This window comes from Homo sapiens, chromosome 8 (genome assembly GCF_000001405.40).
Source record: "Homo sapiens chromosome 8, GRCh38.p14 Primary Assembly".
NCBI classification, from domain to species: domain Eukaryota; kingdom Metazoa; phylum Chordata; class Mammalia; order Primates; family Hominidae; genus Homo; species Homo sapiens.
In genome coordinates, this window is record NC_000008.11 from 58,532,125 (window position 1) to 58,558,342 (window position 26,218).

Consider the following 26,218-nt stretch of genomic DNA (forward strand, 5'->3'; position numbering starts at 1 on the left):
TACATTCACATTCATTGTTATTTTTAGTAAGTGAGGACTTACACCTACCATTTTGTTATTTGTTTTCTAGTTATTTTGTGGGATTACAGGTGCCCAACACCACTCCCAGCTAATTTTAGATTTGCCCTTTTGTGGCAATTTTCTAGATCTTGTAGGCATGCTTGATTGTTTTCAAGCTCACTAATTTCTTCTGCTTGATCAATTCTGCTTTTAAGCAGATCTTAATCCTGCTATTAAGAGACTCTAGGCCAGGCGCTCTAGGCCTGTGACTGTAATCCCAGCACTTTGGGAGGCCGAGGCAGGTGGATCACCTGAGGTCAGGAGTTCAAGACCAGCCTGGCCAACATGGTGAAACCTCATCTCTACTAAAAAAAAAAAATACAAAAATTTGCCAGGCATGGTGGTGCCTGCTTGTAGTCCCAGCTACTTGGGAGGCTGACACAGGAGCATCCCTTGAACCTGGAAGGCAGAGGTTGCAGTGAGTCAAGATCACACCATTTGAAAGGACTTGGGTGTTGCGATCTAACACATATTTGCATTAGGGGGAACCACAAGCCCAGTAATGCTGTGGTTCTTGCAGAATCATAGAGGTATTGCCTTGGTGGTCTTAGGTAAGATGCAGAAGAATTCTCTGGATTACCAGGCAGAGTCTCTTGTTCTCTTTCCTTACTTTCTCTCAAACAGAGTCAGTCTCTCTCTCTCTGTGTGTGTGTGTGTGTGTGTGTGTGTGTGTGTGTGTGTGCTGAGCTGCCTGGGTGGGGAGTGGAGTTGGGGGTGGACACAAGCACCCCTGTGGCCACCAATACTGGGACTGCACTGGGTCAGACCTGAAGCCAGCACAGCACTGGGTCTTGCCCATGGCCTGCCATAACCACTACCTGGGTACCACCTATGTTCACTCAAGGCCCTAGAGCTCTACAATCAGCAAGTGGTAAAGCCAGCCAGGCTTGTGTCCTTCCCTTCAGGGCAGTGAGTTCTCCCAGGCCTCTGGCAGGTCCAGAGATGCTATCTAAGAGCCAGGGACTGGAATCAAAAATCTAGGAAGTCTATCTGGTGTTCTATTCTACTATGGCCAAGTTTCTCCTCAAACCATGGGGCACTTTCATGGGAAAGTACTCCCATGGGCCTGTGGTGGTCGTGGCCATAGAGTGAGGCTTCTCTGCCTGTGGAAAGGGGAGAGAAGAGTGGCAAGGACTCTTCCCACTCAAGGACTCAAATTAAAGGGGAGAGAAGAGTGGGAAGACTCTCCCCTTTCCACAGGTAGAGAAGCCCCACTCTATGACTACCACCACCATAGTCCCATGGGGAATACTGCCAGTCCACTGTAGATGTTCACTTAAGGCCCCAAAACTCCTCAGTCAGCTGTGGTACATACTGCCAGGCTTGCAACTCACTTTTCAGAGCAGTGGGCTCCCCTCTGGCCCAGGGCAGATCCAGAAATCTGGCAGGTGGTATTGCTTCAGCACTACTACTCACTGTGGGGCTGGTAACTGTACCAATGTCCATTCCACATTCCCTCCACCCCAATCACATGCTTCATTTGGAATTCCCCAGCAGCTGTTTCATGTGGGGTCCTGCCTGATAAGAGAACCATTCCCAAGATGTGTTCTGGGATGGGAGCTATGTATACTAAAAAGAGTTTGGGCGGCTGTTTCCCAACTTTTAATGCTAGTTCAACCTGCCTGACTTTCACAGCTCCCACTCCATAGCTATCTATTGCTGTTATAGGCACTTGGAACCAATGAGTGTTGCCATACACCAGGGTGCATTCAGCTCCAGTATCCACTAGGGCAAACACAGTCTGTTTATTATTAGGTGACCAATATATAGTTAGCTCTACATGTGACCTCCAGTCCCTGGACACCTTGGCCACCATTACTCTTATTGGGATTCTGAGGCCTTGACCTTCATACCAGCTAAGTTAAAGGGGTTGGTGTCTGCCATCCCTCTGTGGGAGGGACAGTGGGCTGAATCTGAGGTTCCTGAGTGAACTGTTGTTGTGGCTTGAGCTTTCATCCCAGTCTAACCAGAACAGCATTAGGTTGCTCATCTATTTGCATGGTAGGTGTCCCTGCCACTCATGCCACATTTGTCCACAGACCACCTTAATGGGCCCCTTCACTGTCTCCTTCCCTTTGGCTCCCTTGTCTTTCATCTTGGCTATCCACACAGCTGCCCGTGCAGTTTCTCTGGTTCCCCTAAGGCAGAGGCTGTTTGGGCTGACTGAGACTCTGCCTGTCCTACCAGGTCTCTCAGGATAGACACTGGCATGCCCTACCATTGGTAGGTTGCCAACTCTAAGATGGCATCTTTCATGCCGGCAGTGAGAAGCTCATTGTAGGACATGGGTAATGCTCAGCATAATAGCATGCTTCATCCCTAATTCCCCATGGATGTCCCGCAATTCCTCCACAGTCTGCCACTGCAAAGGAGACATGGGGACATCTCCCTCATTTGGCCAGGGTGCCCTGCAGCCTGCAACCACCAGCTGAAGGGGATGGCTCGATCTCCATTACCAGCACCGCAGAGGAGCTGCCTCAGGGATTGGGGGGTTTGTGGTGCATGCCATTTTACTCAAGTTCAGGGAGTATAATATCCTCCGCCCTTGAGTTCATAGAGGAAGACACCCAAGACCAACTCTGTCACCTTCTGCCTGGGCCTATTTCTCAGCTCTTTCAATTCCACAGCAGTGCTGTCCTCATTGTGCTGTGCTGTCACCCTCCAGGCAGGGACAAGTTTTGCGGGTGTGCTCCCTGCAGGCGCAGGGCAGTCAACGGCCCTTCAAACCAGCTACCCGACAAACCAGGGTCTCCATCTCCATTCTGTCTGGCACCTCTAATCACAGTTTGCCCTGCAGCTGATGACCCCTCGCCTGCGCTGTGGCTCCACCTCGTTGCTGCTAGGAGTACAGTGAGAAACGCCAGCCACTGGGGCTGCGACCCTCGGGCATCTGAGCCTTGCTCAGTCAGATGCACCCCCTGCCACAACTCTTCCAGACTCCTCAGCGTTTTCAGGGCGACCCCATCCATCAAGGAGAGTGGCTATCGGGCTCCACACTGAAGTGGACGGCTGGCCAGCCTGGATTTCCCCTGAGGATTTCCCCTTCCCCAATCCCATTGTCTTAGTGCTCAGGGATTTTCTCTGACCTTCTGGCTGCCTCGCCAATTGCTGTGACAAACCCATCTTAACCTCAGGAAGGAAGGCACCAGGTTCAAGAGGCCAGAAAAGAGAACCAAGGCCCACAAAAGACACATGGGCTTTTATCAGGAGCTTACATATTAGAGAGAGTCCAGTGGCGGTGGGCTGGACAGGAGAACTGCAACCGCCTACAAACACCATGTAGTTTTTACAGCATTTTCAATGAACACCCTCTCCTTAATGTCCTCCACCTGGCAACCTTCATTTACCTCAAAACTCAGGCCTCAATCCCCCGTACAGCTCATCTTCTACAGGACAGGCTGGGGCTCAGATGTTTATCATAGATAAGGAATGACTCTCTGGGTCGGCCACTCCCAGATTTCCTAGTTTGGAATACACATTCAGGTGCATATGCCATACAGGGTCATTCTAAGAGTATATCTAAATTATTACTATCAGGTGTGTTTACCCTAAAACACCTCAGTCTCTTCCCACAGATACCTTCCAAGCATGTTATTGGGCATTTTTAATAATTAGAGTCCTTGGCTGGTTCACCACATAGAGGCCACCGTATGATACACATTAAGTCTTTCGCAAACAGGCTAGTTTCCCCTTAACTCCAGGGGACATCCCAAGACTCCCAATGGATGCCTGATATCATGGATAGTTCCCCTAAGGAACTGAGCCCTAGATATACTATGATTTTTTTTGATACAACCAAGATGGCTACTGACCGATAGGAGCGTAGTCCGTACAGTGTAGATACACTGGACAGAGACGATTGGGCTAGATGCAATGCCTGGAGATTTTGTCATGCTGCTCAGAACACTGGCAATTAAAAACTTATGAGCTCTTTATTTTTGGAACTTTCTATGTAATATTTTTAGACTGCAGTTGACTGCAGGTAACTGAAACCACAAAAAGGAAACAGCAGATAAGAGGGGCACTACTGTATAAGGGTTTCTTAGATAGGTGTAAGTCATGCCACTTATCAATAGAGGGGAGAGTCTCCCATTCTAAATACTACACATGGAACTCCAGCCGTGAAGAGTAGTTACTATCACCAAGGACAAACATACTGGAAAAAGAAAATCATATTAAAGGATCAACTTTAAATGATTACAGAATCTTAAATTATATTTGCCACACATCCTTTAGTCTACATATTCAGTATTACTCAGCCATTAGGTTTTCAATTTTGGGCTCAGTTCCTAGATAGTTCATTTGGACAAAGTGTATTTTCTTTTTTTACCTAAATCTTTTTGGCACACAATAAAGTTGTAAGTTCTTATTCTGGCTTATTCAGTAGATTATTACCAAGTTGTTCCCTCAGTTTATGTAAATAAAAACTTATAAGGACTAAGCAAATGAATAAAAAGTTTGATTCTAATTCAAATAATAAATGAGAAAAATCAAGTTCATTGATTTTGTTAAAAATGATTTGTAACCATCAATATTCGGTATATATCTTGTTTTAATATTTAATATGATATAGGAAAAATAAGATAGTTAATTTAGAATTCTTGTTCCTACTTCCTCTTTATCCAAGAGTTATTTTGTGGGTTTTTTGGGGTTTTCTTGGGGAGGGACAGGGTCTTGCTTTGTCACCTAGGCTAGAGTGCAGTGGCGCAATTGACTTACAGCAATCTCCACCTTCTAGGTTCAAGCAATTCTCGTGTCTCAGCCTCCTGAGAAGCTGGACTACAAGTGCCTGTGTCTCCACACCCGGCTAAATTTTTGTATTTAAGTAGAGACAGGGTTTTACCATGTTGCCCAGGCTGGACCCAAACTCCTGAGCTCAGGCAATCCTCCCACCTTGGCCTTCCAAAGTGCTAGGATTACAGGTGTGAGCCACGACACCCAGCTCTTCATCCAAGAGTTATTTTAAAGGGTGATTATAAGTTCCAAATGGAAGGATTTTGTTTTGTTTTGACTTCTGTTATTTTATTGTGAATTTCCAAATTTACTATATTGTGGTTAGAGAATGTAATCTTATGTAAATTCAGATTTTTAAACTCTGAGATTTTTTTCAATGTGGCCTAATATATCACCAGTTTTGGTGAATGTTCCACGTGATTTCAAAATAAAGCATATATTTCTACATGTTAAGTATAAAATTCTATATCCTTTTATTATATAATAATTATTATTTGTGTTTAAATTTTTGATATCCTTAATATTCTTAGTTTGATATTTTGATTTCTGAGTTGTAATGAACTTTCCTAAAATGGTTAAGGATTTGTCAATTTTTCTTTGTCATTTTGTCAGTTTTTGCTCTCTCTATATTTGAAGCTGTGTTAATAGGTACCTATTGGTTTATGATTAAGAAATGGCCCTCTTTTTAAAGTTTCTTGCCATACAGTCTAATTAGTTTTATTTTTATATTGTTATACCTGCATTTTTAAATTAGTGTTTGCCTTGAATATCTTTTCAATTCCTTCTGGTCATTAAAAACTTTTTAAGTATAGTTTTTAAATGGCAAACAGCTGAAATTTGTTTTTAACTCACTGTGAGAGCTTCTGTCTTTTAATAGAATGAAATTACCCTTTTGTGTTTATTTTGGTTTCTCATGTCTGATTATCCTATTTTTGTTTCCCAATTATCACTCTTTCTTTTTTCTTTATCCCCTTCGTACCTTTGTTGGATTGAGGATTTTTCCTCCTATATTTTATTTTCATCTTCTCTTGTGGTAAAGGAGTTATATGTCTTATTTTAATTTTTATAGTAGTTACACTCATATTTTAATACATGTATTTATCTTGTATTTTTTCTAACAACAGAGATATTCTGTATCCTTTTGTCTTCTCAATCGTGAGAAAAATTTAGCATGATTTGATTTTCTTCCTTTCTATATCCCAGAAACTATGTAATTTACAATTTAAATTCCAGATTGTTATTTTAAGCCACTGGGTCTTTTCACATTATATATCAACAATTAGACTTAACTGTAAGTTTTGCTAGTATTACTCACCACTACTTCTTTTATCCCACATATATATCCCCTTTCTTACAATCATTGTTTAATTTACTAGAATACACCCTCAAATAATTCGTTCAAAAGGGCATGTGGATATTTCTTTAGCTTGCTTGACTTTGAGAGCTCTTCAGTTTTTCCAGAAATCAGTCACCTGGAATAATTTCTGGCTCATCCAGTTCCAGTTTCCTCACTTAGTGTTTTACCTGTGAGGTGGTTGCTGCTGCCCTTTGTCCACATGGGAGACAGAGAGGGAGAAGGGGGAGTAAGTGTACCTGCTCTGCATCCAGTTCTTCCTAAATAATTCTGCCAAATATCCTGATGACTCTCTGTTGCCTCTTGGATTTAGTTATTTGGGCTTGGAGTTGCTGTGAAATATACATGTCTTCAAGTCAGAGTTCTTTTGCATATATTTTGGGCTAAAATTTTTCTGAGTTTTGTTTCTCTGCTGGGGGTAAATAAGAGCCATCTCAGAAACCTACCCATCACGTGAGTGCTTCTGAGGGTCGTCAAGGAGGCGTCTGCTTAAGCGGTACCTCAGTGTGCTCACAGCAGCAGAGGGCTACTGTTCAGGTAGGATAGGGCTTTGATGGGTTGTGTCCAAAGCTAAACAGTCTCTTCTTTTCATAGTGGTCCTGTGTACTAGGGTGGTAGAGAGAATAATGGTCTTCCAAAGATGTCCATGTACTAATCTGCATAACTTGAGAATATGTTAACTTACATGGCAAAAATGACTTGGTAGGTGTCATTAACTTAAGGATCATGAGACAGAAATATTATCCTAGATTATCAAGGTGGCCCAACGTAATCACAAAGGTTTTTATAAGAGAAAGGCAAGAGTTTAGAGTCAGAAAAATAGATGTGATCATAAAAGCAGAATTTTGAATGATGCACTTCGAAGATGGGGAAGGGGCCATGAGCCAAGAAACACAGAGAGCTTTTAGAACTGGAAAAGGCAAAGAAATGATTCTCCCTTAGAGACTCTAGAAAGAACACAGCTCTGCCAACATCTTGCTTTCTGCCTAGAATATTCATTTCAATCTTCTGACTTCCAGTACTGTAAGATAATAGATGTATGTTGTCCTAAGCCAATAAATATGTGCCAATTTGTTACAGACACAATAGGAAACTACTACAGGTGGCATCTTTCTCCAGCAATAGCAATTCTCTGGGTATGGGATACATATTCCCCATGCTATCTTTAACAAAGGGCAGTCCAAGTCAACCAAGCAAAGCTCTTTGGATAAACCTTAGTTTTCTCCCTCCCTGCCAGAGTCAAAGGAACGGACAGGTGCTGTGCTATCTACCTCGCAAATGGGGAGCCGTGGCAGTTTGCACTTCAGTGGAAGCATGCTGTTGGGTCTTTTGGCTGCTGGAAAGGCAAAATGACTCAGGAATGCAATTAGGAGGTGAAGGACGAAGCATGGTTTAGGAAAGTGGGGCAAAGATGTGAGCAAATGAAGGGCTGCTCGCCCTGATGAAACTATCACGGGTTACCGGGTCCAAGGCATGGACCACCTGGCTAAGTTCTCTGCTCTGGCTGCTTTCCAGAGTCTCTTGGCTGTGAATCTCTGAGGGAAAGAAATCTCCCAGGACTATGTCTTTAAGTTCTTAAGTCCAAATTTTACATCTGGAAGCAACCTGCTCTTTGAGATGTGCAAGAACTTGTGAAGCCCAAGTTGACTTCTATAGGCTGGGGCTGGTCCAGCCAGGACCCAACCTCACAGGACTCAGAAGCTCCATGCTTCACTTACTCTCTCCCTGATTCAACATGAGCTGGCTCCCCCTCCAACCTTATGGTAACTTGTTTCAGGCACCCTATTTCCTATGTCCACCTTGAAATTTTATCTGGGTCATCCTTGCTGATTCTGGAAGATTTCCATAACTTCAAATCTTAGAGAATAAAGATTAGGGCATAGATTCTTTTCCTTCAAGAAGTCTCTGAGCTCTTTAACTAAATTGGTACTTGGTCCTCTCAAATGAGAAAATTCTGCTTCAAGGTGACTCTTCTGTCCCTGGCTGTGACTGTGAAGCAGGTGGCAGTCTCTTTATATAAAGAGAAAAATTAGACACATGTAATTTTTGGCAGTGTCCTCTTTGGGTAAGGCACTCTGCCACCAGCAAGCTTGAATCCCTGTCCTCTTATTTCCCATGAATTATCCTGACTAAAGTTATGCATCATATTGTAATGTATCTTTAAAGACAGGAGCCAAGTTTTACACATCTTTGAATTTCTCATCACTTAACACAGTTTCTGGCATATTATAAATGCTCATACATATTAAATAGTTTGAAACAATACTTTGGGGCAGAGAATGCTGATTGGCTCATAATATTCATTCTTTCTTTTTGTTTAGTAACAGAACCCTAAAAAAATGTGCTTGGATAAAAGATGATATTTCTTAGCCCCTTTTGCAGCTATATATGGCCAGTGAGATATATGTGTTCTGAAGCTTCTGGGAAGCCTTCATAAAAGGAGAAAGCCTGTGGCCTGTGGCCCATCTGCTCTTCCTCCTTTCTGCTGTCTGGAACATAGATGTGACGGTTGGAGCAAAACAGGAATTTTTACATCGCAAGATGATTTTATGTCTAGATTTCCTTTATGTGAGAGCAATTAATGTCTATCTTGTTTAAGTGACTTTATTTTAGGTTTCTGTGTACACCTGAACATCATCCTAATTAAATCAAACAACGTTTCCCTTGAGCATAGAGAAAAATAAAAAAAGGAATCATGGAGAGTGGAAGCAGAGGAATCAGGAAACATTAAAAAAAATGCAATCCAAAATCTAGGGGTGGTGTATTCCCTAAAGTATTTCAAAGAACAAAACATCCAGTTTGTTCTGCTACCACATATGTTTTGGTAATGTGAATTAGCTCATACAAAACTGGTAAATGGGAGAGTGATATTTATCTAATAATGTTGAAATTGTTTTGGTTGATATGCATGTATCCCAGTATGTGATTTCCAAGAAATCAGGGGGGAAACTTTCTAAACAATTAAAAAGCAAGCCTTAGCAATATGCAAACACCTTAAGGAAAAAACTTCTACAGTGGCACCTTTCTTTATTGAAACAAAGGCTGGGTTAGTGGTTTCAGGAACTGCTATGTATTTCATGATATTAAGCTATCTGGTGAAGTGTGAAGACAGATAAAGAAGCTGCAAAAAGAAAAAAAGATGTTTGTTTGAAAACATTAGGAAGGCCCCTGAAGCAAATTTTTAACACTGATAAAACTGGCATTTTGAAAGTAAATACCCCTACATCTCAAAAGAGCAAGCCCCTGAGTTTAAAAGCTACTCAGGGTAGGCTGCTAGTGGAGATTGACTGAGCCAGTATTTTATAAATAGAGGCTTATTGTTTTTGTTGGTGTTCTTGTTATAAAATTGGGTGGTATGGTCTGTCCATAGCCCTATTTGTGCCATATGCCCAGTTATTTCCAGTGTATGCTTTTGTAGAATGCAAAGCTGGGTGTGAATGCACATGTGGTTTTACAAAGACATGGCTGTATGTAAGAAAGCAAGAAGACTGGCTTCAGAGCAAACTATAACTGATACTCTTTTTTCACATCTTAACATCAATTCTTCAGTCAGGGTTGGCTTTTTAACCTGCTTCCATCCATAATTTTATTTAACAACTAGAATCAAATCTTGAAAAATGCAATGCCTTAAGCATTTTACCTTTCATGCTTCCTTTCTCAGAAAGTCACTAGAGGACATGCTCATCCAAAATGAGGCAGTGAACAAGGGACCGCAGGAATCAGGGACTCAGCATAGGAGAGCGTGGAATAAAGACCAAGATGATGGTGAACTAAGTCCCAGGAAAATAGCTGTGTGGACAACTGAAGCACAAACTGCTCAGACTGGGCTCTGGAAAGGGAGCTTCTGGGGGCGACTAGAACTGAGGGACTATCTGATATTTAAAAAGTAATGTCTAAAGGTGTTTTTCACAGATATATTGGGAATGCCAAGAAGAATTAGCTGTGAAAATATGGAGAGCTGATGGTACTTTTATTTCCCACTAGGTAGAATGGATCATGTGTCCTAGGTTGGCTCTTTGGGTTTAAGCAAAAATGGATGTCATCCTGTTACTTTTCAAAAGTCCTGGCCAGGCACGGTGGCTCACGCCGGTAATCCCAACACTTTGGGCGGCCGAGGCGGGTGGATCACCTGAGTTTGGGAATTCAAGATCAGCCTAGCCAACGTGGTGAAACCCCGTATCTACTAAAAATACAAAAATTAGCTGGGCGTGGTATTCGGCACCTGTAATTCCATCTACTCAGGAGGCTGAGGTACGAGAATTGCTTGAACCTGGGAGGTGGAGGTTGCAGTGAGCCAAGATTGCATCACTGCACTCCAGCCTGGGGGATGGAGCAAGACTCAGTCTCAAAATAGTAATAATAATAATAACAAAAGTCCCAGTAAAAACCCGGTAGTTTTAATAGATTTACTTGCAGTAAACACATGGAACACCATCCTGCTTTTGTGCCAGTGGCCTCACTCCAGGGGGTTGTTCTATCTCCCCAAAGCATGGTCAGGAAGCCTTATTGCTGCACCTCCCTCACAGGTGCAAAACACAGTAAGAGCGCTATGATTTTGATTGTGCATGTGGCTCTTCTCAAGTTGTGTGTCCTCTATGCAAACCTTTGGTTTTACACAATGACAAAACACTTATTTCTCCTAATTCCTTATGCCCAACTTAGATCTTGATCCTGAAAAATTCTCCTGCTCATTTGATACACCTTGTATGCAGATGTTAGGTTTATTGGTGAGCAGGCTTCTCTTGTCAAGGTTGGGACTTCATAGGGGCAATCATTGATGGGGTTAATCCTCAGAGAGGAAACTAGAACTAAAATATGTGCAGGATGAGATAGGGAAATCCCATCCGTTTCTGGCCTCGTTTTATTGCCTTTAATTGAAAGCTGCCTCTTACCTCATGGTTTTGAGTTACTTCATTGTGTAATCTTTTTGAAGGCATGAATTTCAGCAAAAATTAGGAATCCCTCGTTTATGTTAGAAATTTCACTGTTGAGCACTATAAATGCAAACAATGGAACTGAGGTGACAATCTGCTGAAGGGATACCTTTGGAGTCTGGCTGAAGGTCGCATGTGGGTGGGTGAAGGAAACAGTCTCAACTTGCTTTTCGGCCCGACAGTGGGAATATTCTTTTGACATTGATAATTTCAGACATCTTAAGTTCTGAATTGTTAAAATGGTTTTTAAAAATGTTGCTCTTAGAAACAAGAAAATACGGTAATTCTAGAAGCAACCCTTTTCAGTTCCTCAGGCACTGTGCCAGGCATCAAAGACCATTTAAAGTATAGCCCCAGCCCTCAAGAAGTTCTGGTCAGAGGAAAGAATGATTGATACCAAAGAAACCACAGGGAAGAAAAGTGAAAAAAAGATCACTTCTGATTCCATGTAAAATTATACAGTTACGAACTATATTAATAGCTGAAGGATAAGGCTGATATCCAAAAGTCAAATAAATTTAATTCCTAATTATCCACATACAAGAAACTAAATGAATGAAAGAAGCAATAGTAATTTTCCATATAAATATAGTTGAGAAATTATGCATTACCCTGGCCGCACAAATACAACTGCTATAGTTGACTCTGAACATCTGGAACACTTCTGGATGTGTAACTTGGAACCGAGGATATGGCATTCTTTTTAAGGGTGTGTGTATTCACAACTTAGGGAAGAATCCCAAATTGAATTCCATAGTTAAAAGCAAAAACAAGTTTTAACACACTGAAAGAGTACACTCCTGTCTGGTTGAGAGAGATCAGCCAATAAATGATGGATCCCCGGGCAGCTCAAATGCCAGTGTGGCACGTTTCCTATGGAATGTGGAGGCATTCAGAGACTTAAATGATTTTACTCTCTCAACAGAATCCAGATGCTCTTAAATATTACAGATATTATTATAAATTAAACAATATAAGTAGCCAGAAAATATTGTAGTTAGGGTTTCTATAAAAATTGTTTTGAACACTGATGTAGAAAGAGCTGTATCCTTTTTCCCAACATGGCTATTTCAAACTTGTGATAGTATATTCTTGTATATTATTGATCACCTCTTTATATTTTCTGTTATAAACATCCTATAAAGTATGCTAATATATTTGTTAATTTCTCTCCACATAAATATTCATAATGTCCTGTCCAAGAAAGTAGAAAATGGGACCTTGAAATAAAACAAATGACCCAGTCAACAACTAAATCTCCTTTAAAAAAAAAAGTCACAAGTCAATTTACCTTTGCTTTAATGGTTTTTGGTAGCCCCATAAAATGGTCTTATTTTGTGAAGGGGAGACATTTCTAAATATGTAAAATTTGTTTTAATTCTTTAGGAAAGCAGAATTCAACACATCTTTGAAAGAAAATCCAAATGCTGTATTATAAGTTAATTTAACTTATATTTACAAGTTAGGTTTAACTTATTGGTATGTCAACCAACAATATTTTTACCACCTGTAAAAGGTATGGGCCATGAATGTGATAGAATCTTTACTACAAATAATTTCTTCACTATGGCAAAATATTCGATGATGGAAGAACTTTAAGAAAAGCTTTACAGGCCAGGTGCAGGGGCTCACGTCTGTATTCCCAACATTTTGAGAGGCCGAGGTGGGCGGATCACGAGGTCAAGAGTTCGAGACCAGCCTGACCAACATGGTGAAACCCTGTCTCTACTAAAAATACAAAAATTAGCTGGGCATGGTGGTGTGCACCTGTAATCTCAGCTACTCAGGAGGCTGAGGCAGGAGAATTGCTTGAACCCAGGAGGCGGAGGTTGCAGTGAGCCGCGATAGCACCACTGCATTCTAGCCTGGGCAACAGAGCAAGACTCAGTCTCAAAAAGAAAGAAAAAAAAAAGCTTTGTAGAATTATAACTACCTGGAGAAATGTTCAATTTAGCAATAGAGGCCGGGCACGGTGGCTCACGCCTGTAATCCCAGCACTTTGGGAGGCTGAGGCGGGCGGATCACGAGGTCAGGAGATCGAGACTATCCTGCCCAACACGGTGAAACCCCGTCTCTACTAAAAATACAAAAAATTAGCCGGGTGTGGTGGCGGGTGCCTGTAGTCCCAGCTACTCGGGAGGCTGAGGCAGGAGAATGGCGTGGACCCGGGAGGCGGAGGTTGCAGTGAGCCGATACTGTGTCACTGCATTCCAGCCTGGGCGACAGAGTGAGACTCCGTCTCAAAAAAAAAAAAAAAAAAAAAAAAAATTAGCAATAGAGACTATTATAATTTATGCAAAAATTTAAAAATATTCTATTTTAAAATGCCCAGCTATACTAAATCTAAACTTAAAAATCATGTTAAATAAGGAATAATTATTCACCTTTCAAAAGTGTCTAGGCTTTACAAAATGATTTGTTTCAATGTTCTTTTCAAATAGACAGCACCCTTGGAAGCACATTTAGAAGGTGACTACATTGACAAAATATGATTTACATATTTATTCTTAGGAATATATTTTCTTTCGAGTGAGATCCTCTAATTGTACATAAATAAATTTGTTCCAGGAAAGTCAGCTGAAGAGTGTTTTAAGTGGTGGTTTCACTGGTCAACAAAACATTGTTCATAATCTTGCCGATGGAACATAAAACCCTGAGAGGGGAAATGTGTTCTGGAACAAAGGCTGATATTATAAGGAGTTTAGGGCAGGCTGATTTATTTGTCATGTGGCTGAGATTTTTAAAAGGAAGAGGAAGTTCCATAATTCAACAGAGCAAGTGACCTGCAAATGATCAACTTTTAAAAAATCATTTACTGTGAAATAAAATCTTCAGAAAGAGCAATAGTGCTAATTATGATCATAGTATTATGTTGATATTTCAAAAAAATTAAATTATCAGTTCTGAAAATCTAATAAAAATGTATGGCAATTATTCTTATCTTTACTCCTACGCATAAGCAACATTATAAAACAGGAAGAGACCTAAGAAGTATCATTTTGAATAAAGAATGCTGTACTTTAGGCATAGCACGGAATATTAAAGAGATTTTTTATGTAATAATATCTTTGGTAACAGTGTATTTATATTTGTGGATTTATTTTTGCATCAGACTACTGAAAGTCCTAAAGAAAGCAACATGTTCTGGAAAATAACTAAATTAGCATCCATAGTTAACCTATGATCATGGTTTGGGCCTACACTAATAATATGTTGATCTTACCATGTTTTCATAAATATTATTCAAACATGAGTCACGTAGAGTAATGTGATTACATTTTGGTCAATTTACCTCTTTCCTCCCTTCCCCATTTTCTCCAGAAGCAGGAATCCCTCACTATGTCCAAACACACAACTTTTCTCTGAGACATTCCTTCTAGCACCCTCTATCATCCAATTCCAACATGGATTTCTGCTTTCTGGGCCTTCTACATAACTGTCATCCCAGGCCCTCCTTTCAACAACATTCTGTAACTCTGTTTGCCTCTTTCTTGTACCCTGGTGTTGTAGGAACGCTCTCACCTCCTTTTCCTTTTTGTTGTTGTAATCTTATGTTTTGGAGCAAGTGCAGCTTTAATTTCTTAACAAAGGGAGCATGAGAGGTAAACTTTGATTCCTTATATGGATTAAATGTCTTTATTCTATCACACTTGAATGACATATGTGGCTCAGTTTAGACTTCTAGGTTAGAAATAACTTTCTCTTATAATTCAGAAGGCATTGCTCCATTATCCACTAGCTTCAAGAATTTCTGTTGAGAAGCCCAATGCCATTAAGATTTCCAGTCATGGGTATGTACCTGTTTCTTCTATCTGGGAACTTTTAGGGTTCTCTCTTTTCTCTCATATTCTAAAATATCACAATGATGTGTTATTGTGTGAGCCTTTCTTTTCTTTTCTTTCTTTTTTTTTTTTTTTACGGATTCTCGCTCTGTGGCCCAGGCTGGAGTGCAGTGGCGCGATCTCGGCTCACTGCAAGCTCCGCCTTCCGGGTTCACGCCATTCTCCTGCCTCAGCCTCTCCGAGTAGCTGGGACTACAGGCGCCCGCCACCACTACCGGCTAATTTTTTTTTTTTTGTATTTTTAGTAGAGACGGGGTTTCACCGTGATCTCGATCCGCTGACCTCGTGATCCGCCTGCCTCGGCCTCCCAAAGTGCTGGGATTACAAGCGTGAGCCACCGCGCCCGGCCGTGAGTCTTTCTTACGGTTAATTGTTCTGGGCAATTAGTGCATCCTATTAACCTGGAGACACCTGTTATCCAGCTCTGGTACTGTTTGTGCATTCGTTTGATAATTTCTTCCTGTCCATATGCTCTTTCAGGTATTTCTAGTATTTGGACACTGAACTTCCTGGATCGATCCATTATCTTATTTTTTTCTCTTACATTTATTATCTTTTTAGTTCTCATTTCTGGAAGATTTATTTGACTTTATCTCCCACACCTTCGATAAATTTTTTCTTTTAATCAGAAGAGAGCTAGAGTATATAAATGTTTTAAATTTTTGTCATAATACTTTTTCATTTCAAACATCTTTTTTAAACATAATATTTTGACTGTTCCTTTAAAATATTATTCTGTTCCTCTTTTATGAATTAAATATCTTCTTTATCTTTCTGAAAAAGATTCATAATAGATTTTTAACCATCTGTGTCATTGTTTCTTCTTCTTTTGTTTCTTTTATCTTCTGCCTTTCATGCTAGAGGCTTTTTCAAATTTTGGGGAATCTTGGGGTATCTGCTCACTTTTAAGAGGGGACAAAAAGATAACTTAGGGCAAGGATGGGACTTCATTATAGGGGGATGAGGCCACCTGTCAGTATCTTTAAGTCTTTTTTCTTGAGTTGCTTAGTTTTTCCAGAGAGACATCTTTCAATATTCTGCCTGAGCAGGGGCAAGGGATGGGTATAAACCTGACCATTAGTGTCCTTGAAGCCAACAGACAGATGAAAAACAAATGGTCCGTGCTTTCATCATTCAATATACAGATTTTCACATCCTTTTCCTTCTTTCACAGGGGAGTAAGTCTTCATTCTTCTGCAGACATAGGTGATCAACAGTTCAAGATGATTCTGTCAAGGTGTAGACAGGGCTGGTTTCTTTTGGAGGCTCTAGGGGAGAATCTGTTGCTTATCTTTTCCAGCTTCTAGAGGTTGCTGATGTCCTTTGACTCGTGGTCACATCATTTCAATCTCTGCTTTCTTCCTTATATCCAATTCTACCAACTTTGAAACTTCAACCTTTCCCTCTTATAAGGACTCTCATGATTACATCAGGCCTACCTTGATAATCCAGGACTATTTCCTCATATCAAAATGCTTAATTTAATCACATCTGCAAAGTTTCTTTTACTCTATAAGGTAACATATTTACAGTTTTGCAGATTAGGATGTGAACATCTTTGCTGGGGGCATCATTCAGCCTAGCACAACTGGTAACTCACAGGCTATTCCAAATTTAATAAATCCCAAGACAATCTTCTAATCTTCCCATCTCCGAAATCTGCTCATCTTAGTGAACCCCATCTCAGCAAATGTGCCAACATCCACATAGTTCCTCATCCCAGAATCCTGGTCCTCATTTTAGACATGTCCCTGTAATTAATCCACATCCCACCAACCACGAAGTCTTCCTGATTCTTTAACCTAATCTTTTTTAAATTTTTTATTTTTTCCATCTTCAATATAATTGTCACATCAGGACGACTGTGGCAGTCTCCTAGTAGAACTCCCCACATCCCAGACTTATTCCCACATCCAATTTATCCTCCAAGCAGTAACCAGAGTAATCATTTCAAATGCAAATCTAATCATGTTACTCTTTTCAGTAGTTCTAATCCTAATCACATGCTCAGTGATTCTGGTGACAAGCCTCCATCCGGAAGCTTTTTAAGGCATCTCTTCCTCATTCCCCTGACACGAATTACCTCATTAGCATAACAAAGACATCCCTATCACTAAGGGTATTCCATGGGTTTTTGAATCTCTGTACTAGGAACCAGAGACAAAGACTTTATATATATATACACACACACACACACACACACGTGTGTATATATATATAATTTTATATATTATATATTATGTATATAATTTATTATACCACATACAGTCCTATGGTTTTTGACAAATGCATAATGTTATGTATCAATCATTATAGTATCATACAGAATAGCTTCACTACCATACAAATCCCCTGTGCTTCCCCTACTCACCCATCTGCATCTCCCCTAAACCCCTGGCAATCATTCATCTTTTTATTGTCACTATAATTTTGCCTTTTCCAGAATGTCACAATGTTGGAGCCATACAATATGTAGTCTTTTTAGACTGGCTTATTCACTTAGAAAAATACATTTATCAATCTCCTTTTTTTTTAAATTTAGAAATGAGGTCTCACTATGCTGTCCAGGCTGGAGTGGAGTGTCTATTCATAGACTGCAGCCTTGAACTCTGAAGCTCAAGTGACCCTCCTGCCTCAGCCTCTCTAGCAGCTGGGACTACAGGTGACTGACTTTCCCGTGTCTTATTAAGGCTTGATAGCTCATTTTTTATTGTTGAATAATATTCAGTTGCATGGATGTACCACAGTTTGTTTCTCCATTAACCTATTGAAAGACATCTTGTTTGTTTCCAATTTTTGGCAATTATGAATAAAGCCTCCTTAAATATTCACGTGTAGCTTTTGTGTGTACATAAGTTTTCAACCAATTTGAGTAAATACCTAGGAACATGATTCATGGTTCATATGGCAAGACTATGTTTAGCTTTGTAAGAAACTTCTGAATTGTCTTCCAAAGTGGCTGTACCATTTTGCATTCCCACCAGCAATGAGAGTTTCTCACTCTAGTTTGCATTTGGTACTGTCAGTATTTTGGATTTTAGCCATTCTAATAGGTGTATAGTGGTATCTCATTGATGTTTTAATTTGCAGTTCCTTAATGTTACGTGATGTTGAGCTTCTTTTTACATAGTTATTTGCCATATCCATCTTCTTTGGTGAAATGTCTGTTCAGATCTTTTGTCCAATTTTTAATTGGCTTGTTTTATTATTGTTGAGGTTTAACTGTTCTTTGCGCATTTTGAACACAATTTTTTTTAAATAAAATAGAGATAGGGTCCCACTATGTTGCCCAGGCTGGCCTCAAACTCCTGGGCTCAAGTGATCTTCCCACCTCAGCCTCCCAAGCAGCTGGGACTACAGGTGTCTGCCACCACATCCAGCTAATTTTATTTTTTGTTTAGAAATAGGGTCTTGCTATGTTGCGTAGGCTGGTTTCAAACTCCTTGGCTCAAGCAATCCTCCCACCTAAGCCTTCCGAAGTGCTGGGATTACAGGTGTGAGCCACTGCACTTGGCCAAAATTCTTTATCAGACATATTTTTTACAAATATTTTCTCCCAGTCTGTAGCTTGTCTTCTCATTCTCTTGACACTGTCTTTTACAAAGCAAAAGTTTTTCATTTTAGTAAAGCCCAACTTGTCAACTTTTTCTTCCATTGTGCATTTGTTGTTTCATCTGAAATCTTTTTGCCAAATCTGAGGTCACCTATATTTTCTCCTGTGTTATCTTCTGGCAGTTTTATAGTTTAGCTTTTAAATTTAAGTCTATGATCCATTTTTATTTAACTTTTGTGAAGGGTGTTAAGTCTATGTCTAGATTCAATTTTTTTTTTTTACATGTGGAAGTCCAGTTGTTCCAGCACCATTTATTGAGAAGACTGTCCTTTGCTACTTTGCCAAAGATCTGTTAAATGTATCTGTTTGGGTCAAGTTCTGTGCTTTGTATTCTGTTCCATTGATCTATTTGTTTATTCTTTTGTCAATACCATGCTCTCTTGATTACTATAGCTTTATAGTAAATTTTGAAGTTGAGTACTTCTATGGACTGAATGTTTGTGTCCCCCCAAAATTTATATGTTGAGGCTTAATCTCCAATGTGATGGTATTTAGACCCAAGGTTTTTGAGAGATAATTAGCTCATGAGAGTTGAGCCCTCGTAATGAAATGAATGCCCTAATAAGAATAGATAGAAGAGAATGTGCTTTATCTGTCTTGTTTTCTGCCATGTGGGGATACAATGGGAAGAATGCCATCTGCACACTCAAAAGTGAGCCCTCACCAGATTTCCAGATGTGCCAGCAACTTGATTTTGGGCTTCTCAGACTTCAGAGATGTGAGAAATAAATTTCTGTCGTTTAAGCCACCCAATCTATGGCAATTTGTTACAACAGCCTGAACTAAGGTACTGTTAGGCCTCTGACTTTGTTCCTCTCCTTTGGTATTGGTTTGGCTCTTCTGGTCTTTCATTTTTCCATATAAACTTGAGAATCAGTTAATATCCACAAAATAACTTGCTGGGATTTTGATTGATTTGATTTGATTGTATCAAATCTATAGATTAAGTTGGGCAGAACTGACAGTTAAATATCAAGTACTCCTATCCATGAAAATGGAATATCTTTAAATTTATTTAGATCTCCTTTGAACTTTGTAGTTTTTCTCATTGGAAGTTTTTTTTATTTAGAATTTTGTAGTTTTTCTTGTATAAACCTTTTACATATTTTGTTAGATTTATACCTAAATATTTCATTTTATTTTGGTGCTAATGTCAGTGGTTATTGTTTTTAATTTCAAATACCAATTGTTTATTGATGGTATATAAGAAAACAACAGACCATGTATGCAGGTCGACTATTCCTAGTACAGAAATCCAAAATATGAACTACTCTAAAATATGAAACTTTTTGAGTGCTGACATGAGGACCAAGGGAAATGTTCACTGGAACATTTTGAGTTTTGGAGTAGGGATGGTAAACCCATAAGTATATAATGCAAATATTACAAAAGCAAAAAAAAAAAAAATCCAAAATTGGAAACATTTCTGGTCCCAAGCATTTTGGCTTAGAATGAGCCTGTTTTAAACTTGCTCATGCAAACTTGCTATAATTGCTTTTCATTCTGTTTTTTTAGGCGAGGAGTGTCAATTTTTTCCGGATTTTCTATGTTAGATAACCATCTCATCTGAAAGCAAAAAGTTTTATTTCTTCCTTCCCAATCTACCTTGTAATTATTTTTAAATGTCCATTTCATCAGCCTAACTATAACCTTACTGAGAGCAAAGTTTTCATCTTTAGTTGTCACCTCTTTTACACTCAGATTTTTATTAGTTTTGCCATATATTAAATTATTCTGGCACTAATTTAGCTAGAAATAAACTGCTTGTAAATGCTATTTTGTCAAGGACTCTACAGTATTCCGTGGTAACTATGATTACTCTTGGGTAAACTGTGCCTCAGTTTCTTTGTCTGTAATGGGATGTCTTTATAGACTGATGTGAAGACCAAATAAGACTATACATTAAGTTCGTAGAGCTATGGCTGGCACAAAATCAGCCCTCAAGAAATGATCGTTATGTTTTTTTACTGGGAAGCAATTACTTTTGCGCAGCACCACACCTAACTCTCAATAGCGAAGGAATATTAGCTTAGGCGGACAGAGTAATACGCCCCCCACCCCCAACATCCAAATTTCCAACAGAAAAATAAAGCAGGAGTTGAGAAGGGGTCGTGAGAGGAACGTTTCTGAGCCTATAGTGGAGAGGTACAGCAAGCGGAGAGTGAGACTAGGGCAGCAAGTGGTGGAAGTCGAAGGCATCCCAAGAGGGAACAGGGGCTCCCGAGACCTCTTTGAATTGGAGGCGACGAGAACCAAGCGACCGTGAGCTGCGATGCACACAGTAGTGAGTGGGTGGCACGGGGCCCGCGGGCACGAACAGCCGAAGAGCGGAGAAGACTGGGAGCATAACCGCTGGGCAGCGGGCAGCGGACAGCGGGCGGCATGAACCGCCCCACTTTGCCGGATACCTGGAGCTGCAGGAACGACCCACACCCAGGCCTCTTTACCCCTACCGCCCCGTTACCTTGGGGACGGGATCACCCGACCCGGCGCCGTGCGACTGCGCGGGCTGAAGGCGGGGGCGGTGCCATGACGCGCCTCGGGGGCGGTCCTCGGGCGCGCACCGCTCTCTTACACTCGGGCCTCAGAAGTCCGTGCCAGTGACCGGAGGCGGCGGCGGCGAGCGGTTCCTTGTGGGCTAGGTGAGAGGCCAAGGGGGCAAGGAGGGACGCCGGTGCCAGGTCCCGGGCGCGGGGACTTGGGGCAGAGGTGTGACGGTCCCTGGGCCACTTCACAGACTGCATCCTGGTCGCAGCCGTTTTCGCGAGGCAGCGGCGACGCCCTCTCCTCAGGGGGCTCCGCGCCCCTCCCTGCGCCCTGCTGGCTGGGGGGGCAAGTTTGCGGGAGCAGCGCGCTCTTCCTGCCGCGACCCCGCGCGTTTCGGGTTCCTGCCCGGGCTGGGGCTGGGGCTGGGGCTGGGGCTGGGGCTGGCAGAGCCCGGAGGCCCGGCTGGGTGAACGCCTTCAGCCCCCGCCCCAGCTCTGGGGTTCTTCCTGGGACCGTCTCTCGATCCTTGTTTTCTCCTCGATAAGATCTCGACATAAGAAAGAGCCTCTGGCCACGGTTCCTCCCAGTGCTCGGCGTTTCTAGGGCTGTGCTTAATCGCCCTTCTTTTGGGTTATTCGGAAAGTCCTGGATTTGAAAGGAGGAAGGAAGTGTTTGTTTATTGGGCGAAGCCTTGACTTTTTTGGAAGGGGGTGGGGAGAGGTTGTTCGCTTTGAGCTTTTTCCTGGAGAAGTTGGACCTGAGGGAGAAACGTTTCCAGTAGGGTGTGTTTAGAAGGAAATACCCCTGAGATCTGACCCCTGAGATATGATGACTCAGAGCCTTCCTTTCAGGATTTCCTTGTAATAATGGGAAAGGGAAGGCATATGGATGTGGAAAGTTTTCACTTTTACCAAAGTGGTGATTATTGAGTCATGGAGTCTTCTAATGTGTCCATTTTTGAAAGGAGTTTGTAGATTATCTAGTCTGTATAACCACATACACATTTACTGTTATCTTTTCCATTACGTACATTGCTTAGAAAGTACGCTCGGCTTACCAAACTCTTAACATCCGCTTGTTTCAAAAAGAAATCGTTGATTAAAGCAGGAAATTTACCTTGAAAAACAACTGCGGGCCTTTTAAATTAAATTGATTTCTAAATGTGTATGTGATTAGTTAAAACTCAAATTTGTTCAGTCTTTTTATTTTCCTGTTTAAGATTGAGGGATAACGGTAGAAAATACGTCCTTTTGTCTTCTGTGTTACCAACTTAATTCTATAAAATTTGTGCCTTAAATGGTACATAAATATTATAAATCTAGTGGTTTGTGGCACAGAATAAAAAGAAGTAGAATGACTTTTAAAATGGTCAGTAAATAGTCACTCCATTATAAATTAAATTTAACTTTGGAGACATTAACTTTTAGTTTTGGGCATTATAGGAAAAGATGTAAAAAGGGGAAAAAGATGAACAAAAGGGGAAGAATTTGCTAATGGTTGCCGGTTAAATGTACTGTTTAATTAAAGAGTTTCTTAAAATGAGCGTGACAACTATTTTCCCTGTTTTTGCCAGATTTGGGAACTTTTTATAGGTATTAAATGCCAAGAGATTCTAAAAAAGAAAAGCGCCCCCAAATAACTTTGAAATACTTTCTACTTTTAGCAATAGTTACGTTAGCATTTATTAATTTCTTTTCAAGTGCTGCCAACATGTTTTGTAAATGTATTGTTTTTGAGTAGGTAAACAGTCACTTGTCTCAAAATTTAAGCAGCATAAAAAGGTATAAAGTAACAAGTCTTCTGGCAGGCAGGCAACTTTTTTACATTTCTTAGGTATTCTAGGCAAATTTTATATCTACACAGGCAAACATATAAGCTGTATTTGCCTCCTTGCTTTTAACACAAACGTTAACATTTTATATACTGCTTCACATTTTGCTCTTATTTTTCCAGTTAGTGATCATATTTTGGAGCTTTTCTAATATCAGCATATATAGCTTTCAAGTCTTTTGCTGTTACACTCAGTGCTGCAGTGAATCAACTTTTACATATGTTGCTTCCTTTGTGCACATATATTTTTACACTTCAGGTTTTGAGACCTGAAGTGATACTGCAGAGTTGGAGGGTATCTGAATTTAGAATTTCGGTAAGATAACTGCAAACCCACTCTGTATGGTAATTGTACTAGTTTACGCTCCCATTAGTAGTATGTGAGTGTTTCTCAAAGGCTTGCTGTCAGAGAATGTCAAACTTTGGATTTTTGCCAGGTGAGAAATGGAATCCTATGGGTAAGGATTAATTATTCTATTACAGTGGACTTCATATGGACATACTTCTTAATGGCTGATCATCAGAAACCCCCAGGATACTTATTAAAAAGAAGAGTTCCTAAGTCCTTCCGTGAAATCTGTGTCTGCCCAGGAAGCTGTTTTTATAATAACTAGAGCCTCGGGTAATTTGGCTCTGATGATTAGCCAGATTGAGAAACATTGCTCTGGAAGACTGCTTAGGATATATTAAATTGTGTTTCTAGACCTCATGTATGAGCCATCTGGAATGCTTACTATCTGGGTCCAATGGACACTTTATTTTTTCATTTTTTAGTTTTTTTTTTTTTTAGAGATGGAATCTTGCTCAGGCTGGTCTTGAACTCCTGGGCTGAAGCAGTCCTCCTGTCTCAGCCTCTGAAAGTGCTAGGATTACAGGCATGAGCCATACGGTTCCTGGCCTGATAATTTTATTTTTTACATTTTTCATTCATTTTATGAATAGTTTGCAGAAGTGAAATTAAAGACATAATGAAACACAACTTTACTAGAAATTTTAATAACTGCTTCAACAAATTATCACTCCAAATTTTCCTGGTTTTGAAGATATCAGTAGTTGAAATAGGCAACATCTTCGAATTCAACTAATTGCTTATCAACTGTCATATAATTTTTTAAAAAAATCAATGATTCTGCCGTCCTAAATTTTTATTATCCCAAGATGTTTTTAATACAGCGGTTCCCGACATTTTTGGCACCAGGGACTGGTTTCATGGAAGACAGTTTTTCCACGGACGGGATAGGTGGATGGCTTCAGGATGAAACTATATCACGAGGAGCGTTTAACCTAGATCCCTTGCATGCACAATTCACAATAGGGTTCCTGCTCCTGTGAGAATCTAATGCTGCCACTGATCTGACAGGAGCTGGAGCTCAGGTGGTAATGCTGGCTCACCTGCCACTCACCTGCTGTGGGTGGCCTGGTTCCCAATGGGCCACCGACTGGTACTGGTCCATGGCCCGGGGGTTGGGAACTCCTGTTTTAATAGCTTAGATTAAAAGAAGCAAATAAACATTATTTCACCTTAAACAGTCACATGTCATTTTTAAGGGAGGCCAGTTGTAGTTGGTGGTTTGAGAAGGGGTGAGGTTAATAACTCAGAAAATGATGAGTATTGCCATTCTAGGTGATATTATTTGGAAAACTTTGCCAGTGTTTCCTACTTCATTAATCAGAATATTGTGTCCAGAGAGCGAATAAACTAGAATTCCAAAATATCACATAAGTATTTAAGTTGAGGGCCTTCGTTCTGTACACATATTTAAAGACTTCAAGGAGGTTACTCTTATATTGCCCTGAGGGGGTTGAGGGACAAATGGGAAACTTGGTACTGAGGCAGACAATATATAAATACATATATATATAAAATGTATGTATTATATATAACATATATAATACATATATATTATAATACGTATAATACGTATTATAATATATTCTAATTATATATAATATATATTATTTATGAATAATATATAATGATTTATATATTATATATAACATAATATATATTGTATATCATACTATTATACTATATCTTATATACTATATTATAAGTATATAAGATATACTTATTATATACTATATTATATAGTATAGTATAGTATAATTTATACCATATATTATATATTATACTATTATATACAATATAGTATATATTATATACAATATTATAATATATAATTATAATGTATATTATAATATAATATAGTATTATTATATATTAATATTATATTATTTATATATTCCAGGAAAATGATATTAATTTTAATCAATATTTATATTTAAATATTTATATTTAAAATATTTATATTTAGATATTTATATTTAATTATATATAAATATAAAATATATAAATATAAATATATAAAATATATAGATATATAAAAATATATAAATATAAAAATATTTATATTTAAAATATAATAATATAATGTAATATAATATATATTATATATAATACATATAATACATATTATATAATACATATTATATATGTTATATATAATACATATGCACACACACACATATATAATATATATATAGCCTTTTGGTGTTCTGAAAAAGTCCGAAACTATCCCACCCACTGAAAGATCTCTTAATAGAAACTATTTGTGAGTTACTTCTGAGGCCTGAGATACATTGGGTGTAGGGGCCTTTCATAATGCATGAAGTGAGTCACAGAGATTGCAAATAATGTAGTGTGGGCCAAACCTGGTCAAAGGGTATGTGGGCAGTACCATTTCTTTCCAAGGAATTAGGCCAGTGGAAAAAAGCTGTAGTGGTCAGGAAGGTTTGATCAAACCCTTAAAGAGTAGTGGGAGTTTTATCTTCTTAGTGATTACTCAGCTCGAAGGAAAGCCTAGAAACAAAATTCTTTAGTTTAGTTCGTACAATAATAATGTTTGATAAGAGTTGCAAGTGAGGTAAAATGAGATTCTTCCACTGATGTAATAGTTACTTTCAGAATCCTCTTAAACCTCATTATTGGTCATTATAAAATTCCAGCCACAATTAGAAGGATTTCCCAGAGTTAGCTTTGTGGTTCTTGAAAAAGGGCTGTGTTTCTAACAGTTCCCATTAGGTCAAAGATTTAAATATAATGTACAAGTGACTTAATGGAGCCCTTCAGAAAAATAAAGCATTTATCATTTTCCTGGAAGGCTTTTTACACTGTTAGGTTCAAAAGTACGGACTTGCCCTAAGAATATTTTGATCTTTTCAATAAGTGTTTAAAGATATCTTATTTACTGTTGTTTTGATGACATTTGTCAAAATACTAACATTTGGTATCTTCTTTTTAAAAAGTTTTTTTTATTGGTGAGACAGGGTCTCAGTCTGTCCACCCAGGTTAGAATGTGGTGGT

At 39.6% G+C, this 26,218-nt stretch overlaps 1 protein-coding gene across 9 annotated transcripts in view, besides 4 other annotated features; it reads left to right on the top strand.

Moving 5' to 3' along the window:
- Positions 20,710–20,889: an enhancer, noted in NCBI's record as "active region_27411". NCBI's record gives its function as "activates an Ori minimal core promoter by ATAC-STARR-seq in GM12878 lymphoblastoid cells {active_cell/tissue: GM12878}" and the evidence as "EXISTENCE:reporter gene assay evidence [ECO:0000049][PMID:35858748]".
- Positions 20,710–21,519: a biological region, named in NCBI's record as "H3K27ac hESC enhancer GRCh37_chr8:59465479-59466196".
- Positions 20,796–21,513: an enhancer, noted in NCBI's record as "H3K27ac hESC enhancer chr8:59465479-59466196 (GRCh37/hg19 assembly coordinates)". NCBI's record gives its function as "activates a minimal SCP1, AML or CMV promoter by ChIP-STARR-seq in primed H9 embryonic stem cells {active_cell/tissue: H9 hESC(primed)}" and the evidence as "EXISTENCE:reporter gene assay evidence [ECO:0000049][PMID:30033119]".
- Positions 20,990–21,519: a silencer, noted in NCBI's record as "silent region_19217". NCBI's record gives its function as "represses an Ori minimal core promoter by ATAC-STARR-seq in GM12878 lymphoblastoid cells {active_cell/tissue: GM12878}" and the evidence as "EXISTENCE:reporter gene assay evidence [ECO:0000049][PMID:35858748]".
- The window catches only part of SDCBP (syndecan binding protein), a 29,598-nt gene continuing 24,516 nt past the window's right edge, over positions 21,137–26,218 (top strand). For all 9 annotated transcript variants that reach the window (NM_001348341.2, NM_001330537.2, NM_001348340.2 and 6 more), the window contains exon 1: positions 21,137–21,179. The gene's annotated coding sequence lies outside the window, so the exon portion shown is untranslated. The remainder of the gene's footprint in view (positions 21,180–26,218) is intronic.